Below are 24,124 nucleotides of genomic sequence, written 5' to 3' on the forward strand. Positions count from 1 at the left end.
GAAAGTAAAATATTACCTTTTATTTTCTCAGGCACACAAGTGATTTGGATACCAATTATCAAGACATTTTACTGATTTCCCTTTAGAATGATCTATTTTAAATCTTCAGCCACCTTAGAAAAAGTTTGCAGCAATCACTTTGCAATTCATAAGTATCAGGTTAGAATTTAGTTGTGGAATAAGTTAACAGTTTATGTTCAATATGTGAGGTTATTTGAACTCCTGAGTTTTAAATATCCTGTGGAACAGTGATTCCTCTCCCTTCTAATGGCTTTTCAGATTAAAGCAATGACTTTAAAAAGATTACATCCTAAATACTTGATTACAACAGAAATCGACCAATCTAAAAATCAGATAGTGTTATACTGAACATCATTCTGATATAATGAGTAGCCTCTGGCTGAAACAAAATTCCACCACCAAGGCCATCAACCAGGTTAGTACTGTTTTTCCTGGGGTCTATGTAAAACTCTCCTTTTCTCTGCAAATGCTGCTTGGCTGTGAACAGCATGGATTTACCTGCACCAATGTGGCACACACCTAGCAACTTTCTCAAGCATTCTAAAGATATCCCCAGAGCTAACAAATATTGACATATGTCACAGCACCTTTCTCAAGAACAGTCCAAATCAGCAGTGCACATTCACACACACAGGAATGCTGGGGATATGCTTATACCTGCACCACTTAGTTACAACAAGGGGAAATAAGAGTAACTAATGAACTTAATAGCTTCACAAGAAAAATGTTTTATAGTCATATACTTGACCCTATCAGGGAAAAGCCACCTAAAAGCATGTGTAGCTGGTTACAAAGTGCATCAAGGGAGAGAATGGCTGGCTCTGAATAAACCCACAGTCACTTCTGAACATAAAGTACACATTCTAATGACAGAGATTTGGTAATATTATTTTCACAAACCAAACAGTACAAATTTCAAGTTATTTCACAAATCAGATGATCAAATAAAAATGGACATGAATATGCTTAGTAAATTAGCATATACATTTTTTTTAAAGGTGCTATTGTAAAATAACCTACATGACAAAATTTGGCAAAGAGTAAACAAAATCATTAACAATAAACCAAAAAACATGTAAAACTTAAGAAAACTCCCAAAGAATTAAAAAAGAACACATATTTCATAGGATTCAGAAATTATATATCATTTTTAAGTGTGCATTAAGCAACTTTATACTGCACTTTAACAGTCTGAGAAATTTGACATTTCATTTCTATAAATATACATGAGTGGAGACATTTTATAAGTACATATGACTGACAGCAATATTTGGACAACATAAAAGTATCCTGTAGATATGTGTTGCTGCCATAAATCTGGGATGCAGGATTAAAAATGGAGTAAATAAGGCATGACAATGCTTTGCACGATTTATTGTGAGTGCAACTTAAAAACCCAGCAACCAAATTTACCCATCAAGTAGCAGGACTATAAGGGACTATTGTTTACTTGGATGCTGGAAATGCTGAAGAAAAGAAAAACCACAGCCACAGATTGGTATTTTAGAAACAGTCAATCCATACTATTTTAAGAAAAAAATGGATGATTTATTATATAAAATTAAGATTGGCAGAATACAGAAAATTATTTCTTTTACCTTTACATATTTATTGTTAAGTACCAAGCAAAGTGTAACAATTAGAAGAACTCATTACAAACTACCAAAATGTATTCATTTGGTGAAATTATTCAAGTCACAAATGCTTAGTAAATAAATGTACTTCAAAATACGTGAAGTGTAAAACAAGTATGAAAACAGTGATCTTAAACAATGATTCCTTTCACAAAAACTAACCAACAAACAAGAAGCACAAGAAAAAGGTTGTCAGGTTAGACAGAAAAAAATAAATCAAATGTATTGTTGGTTGGGATTGTTAAACTAAAATCATTAAACGAAAACCAGCAACTAGATTCAAAAGAGAGAAAAAAAACCGAAATGAGTAATTAGGATTCAAAAAGAATAAGGGTATTACAATACTATATCTGTTTTCCTACTAATAGCAAGAAATGAGGATTTAGATGCCAATTATGTCCTGTAGACCCAGGTGCTCTCAAAGTATTTGCACTGGTCTTCTAGGTATGGACATATAAATGAACTTTACTGTTACTCAAAGGTGAGAAAACTTACCCATTATAAAGGAAAGGAAAACAATTATACCTGATAGAGCAAAAAGATCACACATTAAAATGATCAAATTCATCTCTAGCATAAGACTAGAATAATCTGCTTCCAAAGAATTCCTTTGTACTTTAGTAGATGAGGGCAAAGCTTTCACCGTAATGAAAAGGCAAATGGGAGGTCTCTGATAAGTTGGAATCATCATAGCAAAAAAAGAGATACCTACCAGAAAATTTGCATTAATATCTATAACCTCATTTGTAAAAAAAAATCATTAAGTTTATAAACTATTTTAAAAATAAAACGAATACATATGTAATATGAATCATATGCCAAATTATATTCTATAGTCATAAGTGCTATTAATAAATACATTTGATTCATGCTACAAGAGAAAGAATTGAGACAATTTCACATTTCAGAATTCCTGAGTCTTATCAGAGAAAAACAAGTACTGAAAAAACAAACACAATAAACCTACTTAAAGTAGGGCAAATAACAAAATTTGGGCATATTTATAGTTTTAAAGCTGAAGACTATGGGAACAATATATATGTACTTCATGAAATTATAAACATGTTTTTAAAGCTTGGTTTTTAAAAAAGGCGTTTTGATCAAACAAGGCCACCTGAGTGACATCTTCAATGATGGTAAGCCCACCATTTTAAAGGAATAACATCTTTATTTAAAAGCCTAATTATTAATATAAAAAGGAAAAGAGTTTATTTTAACAAAATGTTTTAGTAAGATTGCAATGGGACAGCCCTTTGATGAAAAATCTAAGGAGGGTAAAGCCAATGTAACTGAATTAGAACAAGAGTTCCAATTTTGAGCTACCATCCACCAAATAATTTCCCTTTTGCTTTGCATATTACACAGTGAAAATAAACAGTTATATTAAGAGCACTTCAGTCCCACAAGGTAGGATTTAAGCTTTGTGAATAGGTGTAAATGGCCCTGTAACAATATGATGCCTGCAAAAATACATTCAACTGAAAATTAATGTCTGTTCTTTAACTAGTAAGGAAACGGGAAGCTAAGTGGTCCCACTTAAACAATAAAACAAAACAAAACAAAAACCACTGTTTATCCTTTCTGGAAAGACTACCAAAGCAAAGAACATCCAATAATATTATAAATTTAAAACTGCATACTTTTACTCATCTTTACAAGTAGGAAAGATGCATACAAACTACTCATGGGCTTTATAAATAAAGACACTAAGCAGAAATAATATTTGGGTTATTTCTCTGTTCGTAAATACACAGAAATAAAACAATTAAAAAACACTAAAGTGCAGACCTATAGGCCAATACAGGCATGATAAAGAGGTGCAGCCAAATTTGCATCTACATTTACACTTACATACCCAGAAAATGATTCTTGCTTTAAAAAAAAAAAATTGTGCAATTTAAAAACTAGTCAGTTTTGTTTGTGCTGTAATACAATTAGAACTTGTCTCTGCCCACTAGTGAAGTGACTGCTAGACCTTAGATAGCACACTAGGCTCTTGACAATCACGTATCTCATTAGAATCATACAACATTGATTCCACCTCCAGAAAATGTTAGGGTCCTCTTGTTGTAGAATGAAGAGCCACTGGTATTTGGTTGATTGCCTTTAACCAGAGAAGATTTCAGTTCCATTTCACAAGCTACAATAGCTGCATTCAATTCCACTTGAGCTCGATGAACTACATAAAACATGAGGCCTATACTTATAATAATCTGTGAATAAAAATAAAACATTACAGTTATCAATATTTTATACAAAAAAAAGAAATAAATCCAATAAATATTTGGCTTAGAAATGCTTCAAACAGGGTGCTTCTCAAAGATGGTAGGTAAAGGGTTATACATTTTTAAATAGTTTACACACAGTTATTGTTTATTCTTTCCTTTGCTGCTTCTCCTGGTAGTGGAGGACCAAAGTCTACAGGTAACCATGACATGGTATTAGGAAAACACACATTCCTTTTGGTTCACTTGATACAAGCCAAACCTGTCTCTTTGTACCAAAAAGCTTTCTTCAAGGAATAAAAAATGTCTACAATAGAGGTAACAGCTGGCTAAACTTTGTTGGTATAATTAATGTAGTATTATACCTTTGCATGACTATAAATGTCCATAGGTATTTCTAAGCCCACTTAGTGAGAAGCACTACTATTTGCAATGAACTACCTGGTGAAGACAAAATTAAAAGTATTACAGACCACTTAAAAAAATGAAATGCCAATAAACTTCCAAAGAATTAACAAGAGATTGTGAACAAGTAATTGCCTGTACTTAGGAAAAAACAAAATCAGAGGAAAACATGATGATTATTTAAAAATGTTAGTCAAAGGGATACTAGAAAAATCATCACACTGATCAAATTGAAAGTCAGGTTTCTAGTCTTAGCTTAGCTATTCACTAGTGATGTGTGATTTAGGGAAGCTTCAGTTTCTCATTGTCCTATAGGAAGCTGTGGTCCCTCTGTACTTTTTTTTTCTTTCTTTTTTTTTTTTTTTTTTTGAGATGGAGTCTCGCTCTGTCGCCCAGGCTGCAGTGCAGTGGCACAATCTCGGCTCACTGCAACTTATGCCTCCCGGGTTCAAGTGATTCTCCTGCCTCAGCCTCCTGAGTAGCTGGGATTACATGCATGCGCCCCACGCCTGGCTAATTTTTGTATTTTTAGTAGAGACGGGATTTTACCATGTTGGCCAGGCTGGTCTCAAACTCCTGACCTCATGATCTGCCTGCCTCAGCCTCCCAAAGTGCTGGGATTACAGGCATGAGCCACAGTGCCCGGCCAACTTTAGCATTCTATGTACAGCTCCTCAGAATGTCTAAGCAGTGTACATTTTCTAAATGAGTTTTATTCCAAAGTTCATTTGTAAATCAGTTCTTTAGGATTTGGAGCAAACACAGCAGGTGTTATTTAATGTCCCAGCAAGTTTACAAAGGCTGCTGTAACCAAAAGTGATACGGAAATATAATACAATTTCAATGAAATCTACCCATAATTATAACATAAGCTTTAAAGGGAAAGTATTCTAAATCCAAGTGCTGAGGGTGGTTGGGGGAGGAGATAACAGAAGCAGAGCATACTGGGGGTATGGTAAGTGTGAGAGGGGAGGAACTTGGAACTTGCACAAGGGGGTGCCATTAAATGAGTACCCATCACTCAGTAAAATCGTAAATAAGTTAGGCATCTTAAAGCTGGGTCTTTAAATTCTGTAACTGTTTTCTGTTACTTCTCTTAAAAGAAACAAGATATATTTACCGAAAACTCCTAAGTTTGCTATGTATCAACAAATGGAAACACCATGTAAAGAGATGAAAAAAATATGGGGGCGGGGGCGGGTGCTTTGTGAATTAGATGCTACCTTCTGTTTAAGACATGCTGAATTCGAGGTGCCTCTTAGATATCCAAAAAAGTTCATGGATGTCAGTGAAGGGGTCTGAAGCTATGGAAAGAGGGCTGAGCTAAAGACAAGTGCTGGGGAGTAGGATGAGGGCAGGCGGAGGGTCTTGACCCAAATACACATATTAGCAACCATCAGAGTAACTGGATTTGCTGTAAAAAAGTTTTCAGAGTAGGACTAGAAAACTTAAGCTAGGATCTTCAAAAACACAGATATAAGGGGTGAAAGGAAGAAGTTAAGCATAAGCTAGGCAAGTGGAAAAAAAAAGTTAAGACAGTGGTATCAAAGAAACTAAGGAAAGAGTGTTTTAATAATGAAGGCACTGTCAGGAGTCTTAGACTACTAACAGGTCAAGCTAGATGAGAAATGGAAAGTACATCTCATTTAGACAAGCTTACTGACAGCCCTAAGAAGAGCAGTTTGAGGGAAGGAAGTGGCAGGGCCACAGATAGCAAGGGTGAAATGGTTACATCTTTAAGTGGGACTTTCCCAGCTGCACTTCTGATCCCAGGGCCTGACGATTTGTACTGTCCCCCAACACACCTTCCCCATCTTCCTTAGCTGAGTGAAGTGTTAAAAAGGGTTTAGAAAATGGAAATAGATAGTACAGACAATTGTTTTAAAAGTTTCCTTATTAAAATGAAATCAAAGAATCAAACACAGGCAGAAGGTCAAGCCTCATACAGAAAGACAGGCATCTCTTAATGCTAACTGGAAAGCAAGCTAAGCAGGGGCAGGAACATAAGAAGTTAACAGATTTCTTATATGCAAATTCAGGGGTTTCTCAGTTGAAGGCTTCTGATTTTTCTGTTAAGCAAGAGAGGTAATCTGCTGACAATAAAGATGGAAACAGGCGAAGGAGTCAAAATTGTGAGGAGAAGTGAAGATAGTTTAAAATAATTAACTATTTCAAGACAACAGCAGGGGAGTGAGAAGACAAAGGAGAGAGATGGGATGTGGGGCAGTGTCGAGAAACTAGGTGAAGATTTGCAACCATGAGTTAAATATCAATGTGTCTGGTTACATGACTTCCCCAAAAGAATAGGGGCAAAGCAGATAAAACTTGGATGTATTCAGGTTTGGGGTTTTGGTTAGTAGATACATAGAAAAATAACAGGCATGGAAGAGTAACTAAATAGACCACAGAATCTAAGCTGGATTTCAGTACAGTTTGAGCATTCCTAACCCAGAAATTCCAAACCTCAAAGGCTCCAACCCGAAGTTTTTGAGCACTAACAAGACACTCAAAGAAAATGCTCATTCGAACACTTTAGATTCCAGACATTTGGATTAGGGATACTCAACAGGTAAGCACAATGTAAATATACTGAAATCTGAGGAAATTCAAAATCTAAAACATTTCTGGCTGCAAGCATTTCAGATAAGGGATAATCAAACTGTACAAGAAATGGTTGTGGCTTCCTATGAACAGTTATTTTGTATTGCTTTATTTTAGGCTGACAGCCATAAAACTCAGAGGCAAATTTGTGGCTCGTTTCTAGAAAATAAGAGGAATCTCATGAATATACTTATTCTGCTAGCTTTAACCTAAGCTCTCTTTTTTTCCTTTTGTATATATTTTGTAAGCTGCATTAAATGCCTCCTGATACAAATTAAGCTGTAACTAATATCAATTAAATCAAACAAGCGTAAACATGTCTTCACTTCTTTTCATAAATCCCTAGGCTAAGAAATATGTGCTTTCCCCACTGTCTTGTATTCTAAGCTTAAATTTTCCAGCTTAGCCAAAGGGTGAGAAATCACTGAATAAAAGAAGATTCTATAGTTTAAAAAGCATCATGAACTTCATTGACTATAGTTGAGTAATTTACTAAGATGCATAAAAATATAAAGTTTCAAATAGTAAAAGTTCTCTCTAAGCTACTAACAATGAGGGATTCTAATTACTCAAATGTAAAGTCAAAGGGAAAAAAATGTTACAAATAGATTACTTATTTTCAGGAAACTACAAAAAAAATGCTTAACTTCATACTAAAAAAATCTGAGAATGCAATACATATTAGATAATTTTACAGTTCTTTGGGACAATCATAAATGTTAATTTATATACTGTGCTATAGATATAATGCATAGAAAGTTTAACTTTATATGATTAGCATGCTGTATTATATAAATAAACCAACTGTAACAAAAACATTTAACTTAGATTCAGATTATCTGAAGAAAATATAGCTCTGGGGAAAAAAAGTAAAGAAAAATAAAAACTGACTCTTTGCATGTCAAAAATATTACAAAATTTTTCTTAAAGCAAGTACTCTTATTGATAAGCTTTATTTAGGCAATATTTCAATGTAAATATTCATGGTTTTACTTTATGTACTAAACTTGTACCTCATAAGCGCAAAGAAAATTAACTCTGGCTTTATTTTATCATAGTATTTTAAATAAGATAGGGCCTCAAAAACTTGAGAATAATGCCACCAAAATTAAATTTGTAATACGGTACCATATACTCAATAACAGTTAAGTTAAAACTAACAAGTTAAAAGACCAGTAAGTCTGGAGGACCATTTCATTAGTATTATTTGCTTAGAGGAGTATAGTGTTGTCCCCTGTATCTGTGGGGTATTGGTTCCTGGAGCCCCCCAGATTTCAAAATCTGTGTATACTCAAGTCCCTTACATAAAATGGCATGATAGTTGCATATAACTTTTGCATATCCTTCCATGCTTTAAATGATTTCTATATTACTTATAATACCTAATATGATGTAAATGCTATGTAGTTATTGTAATACTTTTTTGTGCTATTTTTTATTGTTGTATTGTTATTTTTAATTTTTTTCCCAAATATTTTTGATCTGTAGTTGGTTGAATCCATGAATGTGGAACCAATGGATAGAGAGGGCTGACTATATTCTACTGGTTTTGAGCATAATCTCTAGAACCAACCACCTTGGTTCAAATCCTGGCTCTACCACTTATTAGTCGGGACTTTAAACAAGTTACTATCTAATGGTGTCTTTGTGAACCAGTTCTTGTGGATCAGAGACAGGGGGCTTGATTTACAGCACTTGCCATTTCCCATGGTGTAAATATTCCCATCATGGGCAATTCAAGCTATCAATGTGATGTCACTGAATGCTGAGTTGGGAAGAGATGTATAATACATAACCAGCTCAAGATAATAAACATCTGAAAAAAAAAATCTGTACATCCTAGGGTTTTGGTAGGGACTAAATGAGCTTAAATATGTGGCATATAAAGCATGGAATAAAGGTGAACTATCATCATCATCTTACTAGTTCATGAAAAATTATGATTTTCTATTTTGTTAAATCTCAGGAATAAAATCAATCACAAATAAATTTTAACTATTTCTGCATGCAAATTTAAAGGCTCTAAAGAAATTTGCCTATGTGGCAGTGTTTTTCTCTTTCATCAACTTCTTATGTAAAATTTTATGTGCCCCAAACTATATTACAATCTGCATGGTAATAATAATCCATTATACAAGTCTTATTTGGACTTGTAATAGAAAACCTTAGACATTTTTACGAGGTAATACTTTTTAAAACAAATCTTTTGTTTCACATCAAATTGTACTAGAAAGAAATTTACACTCTCAACATAACACTAAAAAATACAAATAGGTGAGTTTCAATAATTTGAATATAAATAAGATAAGCACTCAACTCTGCCCAATCTTACTGAAATTATTTTCAGATACACTTCACACAAAATCAAAATACAGTATTTGATTTGTGATGACTCTGAAAATAATCACTGCAAAAATAACCCTATTTTTGTCATTCTTTTTTGCCTCTTTAAGAGGATTTTTCTGTATCAATTCAGTTCTACACTTGCATATATCCACACAATTAAAAAATTTTAATGTTGTCAAAATATGTAGTAGTAATGAAAGAACCAAGAAAAAAATCTAAAATGGAAAAACCCTCTGATTATTTTCAATGAAATCTGTCAAATCAGCAATGCCATACAAAAAGAAACAGAGAGAAAAAAAGAGACAACCCTTGGCCTTAAACTCACCTGTAAACAAAAAACAAAATATCCACTAACACTCTGTTCTGCAATGACATCTTCCATTGTCCGCAGGGTGGTACCCAAGTAAGAATTCAGAAGCTGGGTAGGAAGCAGTCCAACCGAAGATGCCATCAGATAGTTGGGTAATGAGAGATCAGTAATCTAGAAGAGTAGATTAAAGGGAATGATTCATTACCAAGTAAAATTTCAATTCAACATAAAAAAATGTGTGTATTAAGTCTAACTAGTGGTATTTCCTCGGGAAGGAGCTGACATCTTTACAACAGTATTCTGAGTTTACAAAATGATTATAAAGAGAATACATGCAGAATGTAGAAAATTTAGAATGAAATAAAAGTAAATTTTAATATTCTATTATACTACCATTGAAAGGTAACATTTGTGACTATTTTTTCTTTCATGTAAATAAAATCCACACATTGATAACTTTGTAAAAACAGTTTTGTAAGTCTTCCTCATATCATTAAACATTCTTCATAAGCATTCTTAATTAGCAGTGTGGTCGCTGAGCTTTGAAGCCAGATAACCCTAGAATGGCATTCTGGTGCTGATAATTCAATATGCTACTCTGTCTCTAAATATCTGTTTTGCTTTGTCTGGATCAGAGTCTTGCTCTGTCGCCCAGAGTGGAGTGGAGTGGTGCGATCTGGCCTCACTGCAACCTCCACCACCTGGGTTCAAGCAATTTTTCTGCCTCAGCCTCCCAAGTAGCTAGGACTACAGGCACATGCCGCCACACCGCTACTTTTTGTTGTTGTTGTTGTTGTTGTTTTTGAGACAGAGTCTTGCTCTGTCGCCCAGGTTGGAGTGCAGTGGCCCCATCTCAGCTCACTGCAAGCTCCGCCTCCCCGGTTCATGCCATTCTCCTGCCTCAGTCTCCCAAGTAGCTGGGACTACAGGCGCCCGCCACCATGCCCGGCTAATTTTTTGTATTTTTAGTAGAGATGGGGTTTCACCATATTAGCCAGGATGGTCTCGATATCCTGACCTTGTGATCCGCCTGCCTCAGCCTCCCAAAGTACTGGGATTATAGGCGTGAGCCAGCACGCCAGGCCCTACTTTTTTGTATTTTAGTACAGACAGAGTTTCACCGTGTTGCCCAGGTTGCTCTTGAATTCCTGAGCTCAGGCAATCCGCCCACCTCAGTCTCCCAAAGTGCTATCAGTTTTTCATCTGTAAAATGAAAATCATCACCAGCTTAGATGGCTGTTGTTAGGATCAAAAATATTTCTAAAGTATCTAGGAAATACCTGGCATATGAGTGACACTCAAAAAAGGTGAAAATTATCATTATTATGCAATTATACTACCATTGTGTGGATGTAGCACAATTTAACCACTCCTGCTGTAGAATATTTACATTGCTTTATTTTTTGAATATATGTAATTACACATTTATTTTTGGCTATTATCAAAAAATTCTAAAATTACAATGACATCTTTTGGATATTAACCTCTGTGGTAGGCAACATCTAAAATATTCCTAATGACTTGATCTCCTGGTATTCATGCCCTTGTGTGATCCCTTCCCCTAGAGCGTGGGCTGGACCTCGTGCTTACTTCTAGCAAACAGGCAAGAGCAGAAGTGAGGAGATGCCACTTCCAAAATTAGGTTACAAAATGAATAGGACTTCCACTTCTTCCTCAAGCAAGTAAGCTGCCATGCTCTAAGTAGCTCCCATGGAGAGACCCAATGTGGCAAGGAACTGATGTCTTCAGTCAATAGCTAGCAAAAATAGTCTGGAAAAATAGCCAGTCAATAGCCTGGAAGTGAATCCTGCCCGAGTCAAGCCTTAAGATGATGCAGCCCTGGCCAAAACCTTGATTGCAGCATTGTGAGGGAGCCTGAGTCAGAGGTACCCAGCTAGTTGCACAGGAATTCCTGACCCAGAGAAATTGTGAGACAATAAATGATTGTTTTAAGCTACTAAGTTTTGAAGTGATCTGGTATACAGCAATACATGACACACGTATCTTAACTCTGGTAGGATAGATCACTAGAAGTAGAATTATTGGTTCAAATAGTAAAAAACTTATTTTCCAAAATGTTCACAATGATTTAACACACCTGTCAGTATGTGATACATGAATGTGTCCATTGTGTCATACTGTTACCAACTGTAGGTATTAAATTTTAATCTTTCTTATTTTGATAGGAGTAAAAATGATGTTTCATCATTAATCTGTACTATTTTATATTGACACATTTTCTACATATGTTTTTTATTCACATTTCCTTATGGCTTCATTTGTTCACATTTGCTTTTTTTATTGGGATGTTAAGTGTTTTTCTTGTTTATTTGTAAGAACTATTTATATAGTGAGGGCTATCTGTTGTCTATTATATGTAGCATATAGTTTTCGCTAAAGTGTCCTTTATCTCTTAATTTTATGTTTTGACATACAAATGTTTTTAAATTTTTATATAATCAAATATTATCTATTTTTTCCTCTTATTTTTCCACTGCATTTAGCTTTAGAAAGTGTTTTAAGAGTATATTGTTGGTTTCTACCTATATATTTCTTCTGATTATGTTTTCCTTTTTAGCATTCACCACTTATTCCTTCTGAAATTTATTCAAATTAAAGGTGAGGATATAGCCTGATCCCTCCCCGTTCCAGTAGCCAATTTTCCCAGCATTAGATACCAAATAATCAATAACTTCTCCATGGACTTATTATGTATACTTCAGTAGAAATAAAAGTTACTTTATATAAAAAGGGCTTATTTGGAGCTCTAATACTGTCCATGTATATTTTAAATCTTCTACTAGAACTAAAACATGGGTATCTCAAATCTCGTACTGAAACCAAATTGTAATAAAGACTACCAGTTAATACGTGGCAAGGAATTTCCCATTCTATTCAAACTCCTTCTTTACGCTTCTTTTAAAAATGGCCATAACTGTTCTTGGCCATATTTATTCTTGCAGATCATTCTGTCACTCAAAAAAAATCAGTACATTTCATATTGGGATTAAGGCAAATCTGCAAATTAATCTGGATAGACCTGAAATCTCTACAATATTAGGTATTCTTATCCAGAAATTTTTCTATAATTACTCAAAATCTTCTTTTATACCTCTTACTAAAGTTTGGTCACTTTATTCACATATCTCATGCATTTCTTGTTAGTTTATTTCTAAGCACTTCATGTTATTATTGTTGCCACTACTACTGATTTTGAAAGTAACTTTTCCACATCCCCATCTGAGTATTACTGGTATATAAGAAAGCTACTGGCCACTATATTAAACTTTTTTACAAATTTTAAAATCTGATACTTTAATCAGCTATAGGTGAATCTATAACTATTAATACAACCAAATCTAAAAATCATTTCACATTTTCAGTAAAACTACATTCAACTATATTAATAGATAATGAACTGGAGATGCATCACTGCTGATTTGGAAAGAATATTACAGTGACTGGTTGTTAACAATCCACCTTATCGATCACTGACTCAACTGCTCATGCGAGATGCTCCAAGAAGTGCTTGGAAGAGATAAAAAGACACAATGCCTACCACTGATGGATTTACACACTGACAAATACACATAAACTACCTCAGAAACAGGCAGAATGGGGAGCATTGAGAAGGCCTACATGCTGAGCATTAAAGAATAAAGGATGAAAATTAGTTGTAGAAGTGGAAACCAAAGCGTAACTTTTTGGGAAGAGAGGGATTCAAGGCAGACACTGAAAGCCTAGTATGAGTTTGGCAAGCAAAGATAGATAGGATGAGGAAGGCAGGTGTTTCAAGAAGAGAATGAACAAAAGATGAACAGCTTCCAAATCATTTTATTTTATTTTATTTTATTTTATTTTATTTTATTTTTTTTGAGACGGACTCTTCGCTGTGTCACCCAGGCTAGAGTGCAATGGCAGGGAAAGTACAGAATATATTCATAAAGTTGGCAGTACAGCTAGGATTGTTTATACGACACACACAAATCCCGTAAAATAAAGACAGGAAAACTACATGGGGTGATACTTGTTGGGGCCTTGGATAAAAGAGGAAGGAGCCTATACTCAGAGGAAAGGTACCAGGGAGTCTAGTCAAAGAATGATGTGAATGGAGCTAAGCTGAGCAAGGTTCCTTCTTCAATTTAGAGCACTTACAGGAGCAGAGAAATTTCTTTAGAATAAACATGTCAAATAAAGAAAATGAGAACATATGACAAAAATGAATGTTATAAAATTATATTGCAGTTAATAACAAAACATTACATATTATGGAAGTTATCTTTAAAATAAATATCTCAGTTCAAAAATTTCAGAATGCAACACTTCTGGCCACAACCTTTACCTTTAAATGTAATGAAGCTTCTCTAAATAGAACACATAATTGACATTCATAGATGACATCAATAATATTCAAATTGGTAATTTAAGAACAGATTTCCTAAATGTGAAACAACTCCACCACTCAACTCAACAAGACCGTTGCCCATGCATAAACTGCATAAACTGAAGTTTATCAAACCTTTCATGACCAAACCTTACCCTTGGGAAACAGTGTTACTATGCATACATATAATTTTAGTTAATAATCGTAAATATTTTTGCTGGAGGGCTCAATGCTTTAACCAATGGAGCAACACAGTAACATACATATACACAGGTTTTAAACTATTAATAACTTTATTAAAGATGAACAGCTTCCTCCAAACTATTTTATTTTTGTTTTATATATATTTTTTTGAGAGAGAGTCTCACTCTGTTGCCCAGGCTAGAGTGCAATGGCACGATCTCGGCTCACTGCAACCTCCGCCTCCCAGGTTCAAGCAATTCTCCTGCCTCAGCCTCCTGAGTAGCTGGGATTACAGGTGCACACCACCACACCTGGCTAATTTTTGTATTTTTAGTAGAGGCCGGGTTTCACCATGTTGGTCAGGCTGGTCTCGAACTCCTGACCTCATGATCTGCCTGCGTCGGCCTCCCAAACTGCTGGGATTACACGCGTGAGCCACTGCACCTGGTCTATTTTAATATGGCATTTTCTATAAGCAAAAATTTTACTCAGAATCTCCATCTAGCTCAGTCTTTGACAAACATATTTGGAATACTTGTTCCCACAAGGAGATGCATCCAGCCTTCTCTCCCCAGTAAGTCTTCAAGCACCAAAGTTATAAAATTCTGTCTCCTTGTTCTACTTTGTAGAAAGACATTAAACATGAGCCTAGATCAATACCATTGGAATTCCTGCTTGCAGTACCCAGCATTTTGGCTCAGGAGTTGTATTCCAAATCAAAGAACCCCTACACTTCTCAACCTAGGATATCGATGCTATCTTGCTAGTTAGTTTCTATGATGAGATACCACAGCAAGAGTTTAAGGGATGGCAAACACCAACTGATTGCTGTCATCTCATGTTTTAAAAACTCTAGAAGCACTATAAAATTATATATCCTCTTATTCCCAGAGGTACAGTGATATACTTGGAGATGTGATTCACTTAACTGGGTCAGCAGGGGTTAACATGTGGAACATCACTTCACCACTATACCAAATAGATCCTGAAAACAAAGAAGTACTCCATCTGGGAGGGAAAAAAATGAGAGGAAAAAAAACTAATTCTGAAGAGCAAGAGCTGATTCACCTCTGAACACAGCATTTCTGGAGCTGACAACAGAGAACCTCTGTCTTCAGATCATTCACTGAAGCTGGGGTTGTGGTCGGTCCTCTTAGGCACAGCACCAAGCACAGCTCTCAGGAAACCTGACCCAGCTCTTCTGCTTTCTAAGATTATAGCTTTTTACACAATGGCTTTACCACTTTGATTTAACCCACCCAGAAACTTTGTTTTTACATAGAATATCTTGGCATGGATGTAATAAAAAATATAAAGGTGACCAGTATTCAGAAGACCTCAAATTTTATGTGCAGCTCTGTGAATCTAGCATTAATTTTGGCAAATTATACCTTCCTGTATAGACTTGTTGCTTGGTATTTGGGATGCTGCTTATTAACAAAGTTACTGTTAAAATATTATAAATTCCAATTAAAATACATTTAATTATATTATATATGAAAAAATCATGAATCCCTATAGAAAAAAATCATGAATCCCTATGACTGTTAAGAAAGGATTGGTCAAGAGAAATTAAAATGACCAGTTTGGTCTTTTCATCTAATTAATATTTACTGATAATTTTACTGTACATATCCCCAAAATACTTCCTATTAATATTTCAGAAAAATTGGGGAACAGAGAAAAAGAATTCAGAAGCGGCAACTATTTTTCACTCTCAGAAAATCAAAACTTTAAAAATCAGTTTCAAGAAAAACATTAACTACCTATTCTCTTTCCTTTGCTCCCCAAAATACCTCTTCATCTTTTCTGTGTTCCCAATCTCAGCGGCCCTAGCTGGAGACCTCATCAGTCAGGCACATAGCTAATTCCTTATTTCCCACATTCAATATCTACTACATCTTGTCAACCGCACCTTCTCTGGGGAAATCTATCCACCGTCTGGGCCTATTTCTAATTCAGTCTCCTCTTTGGTCCTGACTACACAGACTACCCCCACTCACTACCTATGGTAACCCTGCAGAAATCTTTTTAAAAAGTGAGCCTAATCCTGCTTAAACTCCCTCCTACTGCCATGAGGTTCTTCAGAGTGCAAAGTGCTTCATGATCTGGCCTCTGAGCATTTCATGCACCCTGTCACACTATGTCCCAGTCACATCAAAATTTTCTCAGTTCCTAGAACACTACTTGCTCCCCTTTCCCTCTGGGCCTTTCTACGTTGTTCCTTCTGGGGAGTACAACAAGCACATCCTTCTTCCCACTCCATTTACTCCGAAAACTCCTACACTGTCTTTCACTACTCAGTCATCAATTACTCTAGGAAACCTTCCCAGATGCCCCAAGTCTTTGTTAAGTGCTTTCAAGTGCTCTGACAGAACACTATACTTCCCTGTCCCCTTTGCACTGGAGAACAACTGAAGGTTTCACCATTTGTTTGCCCCTCAGTCCTTTCCCAGACTATAAATTCTGTGAGGAAAGGGATCTGTCGTTCTTGGTCCTCATTGTGTCCCTAGATCTTAACAAATGCCTACTATATATTAGTTGCTAAATATATGTTTATTGGAGGTTGGATGTATCAACACCAATAATGCTTTATTTATAAATATGGAAACCTAGAATAGTTGCCAGTTTATAAACAAGTTGGAATGCAATGTCCATTTTTAATCGGATTTTCAGAAATTAAGAACACTCTGCCAAACACACAGAAAAAATGTTATAAATGAAAATTAGCTTATTATCAGCAAAACTTACACCATGATTTACCTAGAATGCTATTTCTCCACTGGAATGCTACCACCTCAAGGGAGAGACTTTCTTTTATTCACGGCTACACCTCCAGCATTTAAAACAGCAGCAGGCACATACTAGGCACCTACCAATTATTTACTGAATGAATACTAAAAATATTTCCAGAAACCGCCATGGTGAACCTAATGTCAAGGCTAAGACCCTCTGGTTAGGGTCTCTCAAGCAACCCTGAGAGTACTGAAAAAAGTCTTGCTACTGGAGGAAAAAAAAAAAAAAGAACAAGAAGGCCGCAGCAGTGCTGAGACCCTACCCTAACAGCTAGAGAGGGCTTCAGGGTAAAGAGATTTCTACTGACAGAAATGGTTAGGTCAATGTCTGTCTACAACACAGAAGCATCTTCACATATGCAAGCTTTTTCATGACTTCACTGTCCCTAAATTAGGAACTGCTTTTAATGGTTCCCAAATATCTTAGGGAGAGGTCACCAATTTATTTGAGAATCTGGTGTAACCCCCCTTCCACCCTCCCACCCACATACACACAGAGGCCTTGAATCTTCTCTCAAGGGGGGAAAAATGTATATCTTATTGTACATAATTTCTGGAACACAAGTTGAAAAGCTTTTCTTCATACAGTCTGACATACTATAGGTTTATTATTTGTACTAAAACATGTATCATATGCCTTCTATATATATCTAAGACCCAGTTCTAAGCAGAATAAAAAAGATACAAAGATGGAAAACTACAGCTGACTGTGCAGTCATTAAAAGTCATGTTGTAATACACGTAATAACAAGATGTTCATTACTTCAAGTAAAAGAAGGTCACAAAAATCATTAACTCAATATTATATTAAAATACATATCAATAAAATGCAAAGAGAAAAATAAACACGAAAATGTTAATGATGTTTTTCTTTGTACTTGCTATACTTTTCAAAGTTTTTACAATGAATACATACAGACAGAAAAAACAAACATTGTTAAAACATGTTTTAATAACCTCGTTGCTTTTAAACAAATTTTTTTTAATCTAGGAAGGGTTAATAAAACATACTCTATATACATTAATATAACAGGCTAGAGATATAGATTAGTGAATTGTAAGCCTACATATGACACAAAAACTGCAGAAGCTGATGAGATAACTAAAGAGACACAAAGAGGGGAAAACAGTTTCAAGGAAATAAAGGTCAACTGCATTCAGTGGTATTGTGAGGTCTCAGGATGTGCACTGAGATGACATTACACAACTTGTTCATCCTATCTGACCCTTAAGGGCCAGACTCCAACTCTTTCAAAACACAGACTGTGTCTGCCTTTCTATTTTGCCTGAACTGTACCACTGGCAGCGAATCATTACACTTTAATAGTAAGAAGAAATCATCATTAGATACACTGATACAGTGACAAGTATTATGACCGATCATATCTTTTTTTGAATCTATGGCTCTATCTACAGCACAGAATAAGAATTAAGAAAATAAGAAAACATATTACAGAATAAGAACTCAAGAAAATGAGAAAATGTGTATTTTTATAACACATACTATCACTAAACTGTTAAAAAATAAAAGGTAATGTTACACTGTTGCTCAGAACATTTGTCTTTTTAAAAGCAAACTCTGACCTCATCTGTACCCTCTCATTTTACAAATAAGGAAAACTGAAGGCCAGAATCATTAAATCACTTCGCCAGGGCTACAAAGGAGCTAAGACAGAACCAGAAGACCCCATAGCATAAGCTAAGACTATACTGTATTTGTGGTCTTAGAGTCATTTGCCAAAAACTTTTATTTAGTTGTAATAAATTTCAGTTCAAATATAAACTAAATTAGTAAAAGTAATTTATCTTCTTGATAGCTCAATGCAAACTCAAAGAAAACTTGAGAACAGTTATATCTGCTTAAAGTTATGATGACATCTTTCACTATTATTATTTCAGTCAGTACCAGTTTCACAGCTCCCCGGCTCCCTCCAAAACAAAGAATCTATTTGTTGCTTCAAACCTATGGTGGGCTCATATAAATAACCAAAGTAACTGGCAGTTTGGTAACATTCAATTCTATAAAGCAGTTCCCTAAGAAGTGAGCCAGGGTGATGGGTAAGGTCTTGCACTTTAAAATTTACTCATTTCTATTTTGTTTGCATTTTACACACAGTACCCATTTATTGCTTTAAAAATTTTTTTTCTGTTAAATAAAAATACAAGATATATGTGAGAAATTAAGGGCCTCTTCCTACAGTTGCAGGGGCTCAGCCTTGGTAGCTGTTTTGTTGGTGTGACTCTAAGGCAGAAGTTGGCAAACTTTTTCCATGAAGCACCAGGTAGTAAACAGTTCAGGCTCTGTAGGCAGTAGGGTCTGTAGTAACTACTCAATTTGCTGTTTTGGCTTAAAAGGAGACACACATAGCACACACATAAATGAGCACAGCTGTATTCCAGTAACACTATTTACGGATGCTGAAGTTTGAATTTCATATAATTCTCATGTATATGAAATATTCTTGTGGTATTTTTTCCAACCATTTAAAAATGGAAGAATCAATCTTAGCTTGTATGCCATACAAAATTGGGCTGTGGTTTTCTGACCCCTGCTCTAACATCTGGGATGATACCTAAGTCAACTGTATAGAACCTTACCCAGTCCTCCATAATGTCTGATCTTTAAGGTGCTCTAAGACAAGTATTCTATAACTGGAATCAGGATGTGTCTGGGAAATCCAGCTCTTCTTGGACCAACACTAGTGCCTGGATAAGTTAATGACTCTAAACATTTACTAACTGTGTAATCTTGAGCAAGTTATTTCACCACTGTGCCTCAACTGCTTCAGCTATAAGATGAGGATCAGGGCTGAAATGAACAGTAAATAAGTTATGTGTGCATGATTAAACAGTGCCCAGGAATTAGTTAAGTACAATGTAGGTATTTGTTAAATTTTTTTAAAAAGTAGCTCAACTTCACTGTCCTTATTTTGGAAGGCAGAGGATGGTGAGAAAGAAATAGTAAATAATGAGCAAACTATATATTTTATCACAGCTTTGCAGCAGGTATTATTAAACACATCCCACAACAGAAAGTATAGCTCAAAAGAGTAACTATAACTACTTCAAGATGACACTGTAAATGTTGGAACCAATCTCATTTCAAGTTTCTACCATGCATGGGAGAAGGGGAAAAAATGGTTCAGAGGAGATAAGCAAGGGAAAGCACCTTTCCTTCTTCCATATATTATCCTTTACAATCAGCTCCTGCTTCTAAAATGTGAATACAACTACCTCCACCACTACAAACAATAATGACACTTAACAATTACTGGGAAGTGACTATGAGCCAGACAAAATACTTAATGCCTTCACTGTATCAGCTTTTTTAAGCCTCATAACTACTTTATTTTACAGATGAGGAAATGGAGAAGGCCAGATGGCACAGACTAATTCAGGATCATCTATTTCCAAAGCCTGGGCCTCACATGACCACTACACCTAACTTCTTTGAGGTACGCCCAGATGAATTTCTCTAATTATGGGCACACAAAAAAAATGAGTTTTAACTGGAATTTTTTTCTTTAAAAAAAAAAGGATGATTTCAAAGATAGGGAGGGATGTGGAAAACACAAGAAATATGCCTAGAAAAGGGGGCAGCTATGGTCAGCAGGAGGGGTATGAGGTGGAGAGGATACATGAGGAGGCAGAATGGAGTTCTAGAAGGCAGAAAGTCAAGTCAGACTAAAACCAACATCAGCCTTAACTAAGCTTTCTTTTCTTTCACATATCTTGGCTGAATTCAGTAAACTGTTTTTGTTGAAAGGACTACTTCTGTAAGCAGGCAGTTCAGAACAATAGGTATAAACAGGACATAACAGACCATATCCAGGGGCTTCACAGTCCACCCTGCTATGGCTGAGTCAAAATTTTACAGTAAGATGCACCATATCAGCTGATCCTGGGTTCAAACCCTAGCTCAGCCACTTGGTAGGTGGGTGACTGAAGAAGTTCCTGGATGGTTGAGCCTCTGTTTCTTCTCAGTGAAATGGTGACAATAATACCTATTGCAAGAGGCCATTTTTCTTTTTTTTCCCTTCTTTTTTATTGACCACACAATGCTAAATTGAGATTTGTCCCTTGTCAAGCTCAGTTTCAACTACATGATTACCTTAAATTATTACCAAGCACAAAATACAACCTCTTAGTTATATACTTAATATGTAAGAGACAAAATCAAAAGAAAAGCCTACCTTATTGTCAGTCGATAAATACATAATGAGCCCTTACTATTTACCCATGACTACACCAGGCATTAAATATATATTCAAGAAATAAAGAGGTGGTTGGTTGAGACACTGCCATCAGACCATGGTTCAAAGTTTGACTCTACCATTAATTTAGTACCTTGGTGACCTTGGGTCATAACAACAGAAACGACAAAAGCCAACACGTGTTTGTTAAGCCAGGCTCTGCTGCATGTATTCATCTCATGTAATCTTCTCAATAATCCTATGGAAGTAGGTATCATTACTTTCCTCATTTTACAAATAAGAAACTGAAGCCCAGAGAGAATAAACAACTTGCCCAAGGTCACTAGATTCTAAGCAGACAGCAGGATTTCACAACACCAGCCCTGTGCTCCCAACTAGTAGACACTAGTCTATAATATGTGCATAATTAACTTCTGCAGGGCTGGTTTAAGGATCAGAAATATGTGGAAAGAGCCGAGGACAGTAGTTGGCACACGGTAGATGGACAAGAAAAGGCCCAAGGATACATGCTATATTGAAACACAAACTAACAGAATCAATCTATTTAGGTTCCTTAGCCCAACCTTCTTTCAAAGTCCTGGGACAGTTTATTTATTATTACCCAAGACTGGGTCAAAGTTCAAGTTTATATTTCATACTATAGGAGGGTATGAAAAAGAAATTTAAGACTAAGACTATACCAAACTACTGCTAACACTAAACTTTATCTCTACAGAAAACCCCTTATCTGTTTCCACTGCCTCTACCAAATACCATTCCATAGTCATTGCTGCTGTTGCTTGGAATCAAGAGGTTTGCAAAAGGCATTTAAAAGAAAAGAAAAAAGAGAAAGGTTTTAATTTCATCACAAAGAGGCAGATTGGTTAGTATTATTCCTAATTCAAAACAAAATGAGAAAGTTTCCAGAAACTAACAATAATTTACGTTTTGAAACAAAATAATGCATCAGAATCACTTAAAATACATCAATTCCTATGGTTTTGAATGCAATTATCTCTTTATTTCAGTAAGTTTTCTTTAAGTCTAGCTGAAGGGTTAAGTTCCTGGGAATCTACATAAACTCTTGGTAGTTTAGAATCACTGAATTTGGGGAACATGGTAATCTACTTTTTTAAGTCCTTCACTTTCGAAAAGAGAAAAGTGAAGCCAGACAGGGTCAGTAACTTGATCCAAAGTCACAAAGTTTGTAAAGACCAGATTCCTTTCTTCCAATAAGATGATCTCTTCACTAGCAGTGTTTCTATCCTAAATCAGTTGCATGGAGATGCACACTAGCTATAGAAACCTGAGTAAGCAAAACATATGAATACAAGGACAGAAAAGAGTCTATAATGGTGCAGATACAGAAGAAAAATATATGCTAACTGAGCAAAAGATTATCTGTTCTGTTTTATTCACCACCCCGTGATTTCGAAATGAAGTTCCTCCAAAGAAAGAAAGATAAACAGTAGGATTTTCTTCTTTACATCACATTAAAGCACAATTACTTGAAGAAGAAAAAGCCCATTTCAAATTTAGCAAACTCCAAAATCTGGAGTCTGCAACTAGCTCCTCCACTGTTTACTGAAACACTTCCTTTGGTCCATGTCGCTAAAAACTTGAATCAAAACCCTGGATGTATTTATGTAAGCAAGAGAGAAAGCTTTCCTCCCTAAATGTTGCCAAAGCTGCTACAAAAGATGACAAGTATTAAAGATGGGCATTTCCATTCATGTCCCTGCATGCCTATTGTTAAGAGGGCTTTTCATTTTTAATTACATTCCCATCCCTAAAAGAAACATTAGTTTTTTATCTAACAAACTCTCTTTCGAGGCTCCGCGTTAGGTATGTTTTATGTGTAGGACAGACTTCCCAGGCTGCGATGGAAAGTAATCGTAACTCCTGCCGTCAATGTCACTTCTCTGCTGGTATTTATCTGATAGAGCGCCCTCCTAGGGCCGCCACAAGACCGCTCAAAAACAGACTTGGAGAGGGATAGGCCAGCGGGACCCCACTTACCGAAAACACTGCATTCTGAAGCCCAAAAGGTATGGGTGTCAGTCTGGCCAGCGCCACCACTTTCAGGCCGCTTCCTCCCTCCACTACGCGAATAACCGCGCTCAGCTTCTCGCTGCTCTGGATCCTGGCGGCCACCCAGGCGGTGAGGAGCCGCTTGCAGACCACATGGGCGATGAAGGTGCCGATGAGGACGCCCACCATCATCAGACCCATGCCCAGCACGAAGCCGTACAGGTAGCCAGCGGCCACGTTGAGCACGATGTAGCCCCAGCCGCAGGGGAAAGAGACCACGATGAAGCCCACGACGAAGAGCAGGACCCCCAGCAGCGAGTCAAGGCTCTCCACCCACAGCAGGAGGTGGTGAAGGTAGCGGCGGACCAGGGCCAGGGAAGCGAAGCACAGGGCGGCCAACACGCAGACCAGCACGAGGCTCCGGCACCAACAGGTGCTGCCGAGGCAGCAGCAGCGCCAGTTTCTCACCTCAGCCACGCCGACCACCACGCCGCCGCCGCCACTCCCGGGGCCGCCCGCCAAGGCCCCGCCCGGCTCCGGCAGCTCCGAAGCCTCGGGCGGACCGTGGCGCTCCAGATAGGCGCCGAGCAGGGCGCCCGAGGCCGCCGCTGCTGCCGCCGCCGCGCTCGCCCCGCCCCCGCGGGGAAGGCGGTCCGCCGGGCCGTCCCCGCCCGCACCCCGCGGCAGGGCCCAGCGGGCCGGCAGCTCGGCGAGGCCCGGGAGGGCGGCGTGCTGCAGCAGCCGGGGCAGCGCCTGGAGCAGGATCCCGCCCGGGCTCCGCATGCCTCGGCCCAGCGCGGGCCCTCAGCCGGCCAGCCCCTCCGCCGCGGCGCCCGTTAGGCAGCTGCCCTTCATGGCGCCCGGTTCGCCCGGCATCGACTCCCTGCGTCCGCTCAGAGGGTGGGAGACGGCCCGTAGAAGGGCGCGGAGTCAGCGGAGGAGCGACGGCCAGGCGGGGAGTGAGGAAACTCCTGCCCCAGCACCCACGGAGCCCAC

The 24,124-nt window shown here is 37.2% G+C and overlaps 1 protein-coding gene across 2 annotated transcripts, besides 3 other annotated features; it reads right to left on the reverse strand.

Moving 5' to 3' along the window:
- TMEM64 (transmembrane protein 64) lies at positions 1-24,089 on the reverse strand. Of its 2 annotated transcripts, NM_001008495.4 has the most exons (3): positions 23,117-24,089; positions 9,558-9,713; positions 6-3,868 (listed from the first exon to the last, which is right to left on the reverse strand). In NM_001008495.4, the coding sequence occupies exons 1-3, from the start codon at positions 23,909-23,911 to the stop codon at positions 3,677-3,679; spliced, it is 1,143 nt and encodes a 380-aa protein (NP_001008495.2). In that variant the 5' UTR covers positions 23,912-24,089; the 3' UTR covers positions 6-3,676. The 2 variants fall into 2 exon arrangements, with proteins under 2 accessions (NP_001139745.1, NP_001008495.2); NM_001146273.1 differs by lacking the exon at positions 9,558-9,713 and having other exon boundaries at positions 1-3,868; positions 23,117-23,911.
- Positions 23,116-23,445: an enhancer, noted in NCBI's record as "active region_27613". NCBI's record gives its function as "activates an Ori minimal core promoter by ATAC-STARR-seq in GM12878 lymphoblastoid cells {active_cell/tissue: GM12878}" and the evidence as "EXISTENCE:reporter gene assay evidence [ECO:0000049][PMID:35858748]".
- Positions 23,556-23,955: a silencer, noted in NCBI's record as "silent region_19351". NCBI's record gives its function as "represses an Ori minimal core promoter by ATAC-STARR-seq in GM12878 lymphoblastoid cells {active_cell/tissue: GM12878}" and the evidence as "EXISTENCE:reporter gene assay evidence [ECO:0000049][PMID:35858748]".
- Positions 24,086-24,124: part of a silencer, noted in NCBI's record as "silent region_19352", that runs on past the window's edge. NCBI's record gives its function as "represses an Ori minimal core promoter by ATAC-STARR-seq in GM12878 lymphoblastoid cells {active_cell/tissue: GM12878}" and the evidence as "EXISTENCE:reporter gene assay evidence [ECO:0000049][PMID:35858748]".

The sequence above is a fragment of the Homo sapiens genome, chromosome 8 (assembly GCF_000001405.40).
Source record: "Homo sapiens chromosome 8, GRCh38.p14 Primary Assembly".
NCBI lineage: Eukaryota > Metazoa > Chordata > Mammalia > Primates > Hominidae > Homo > Homo sapiens.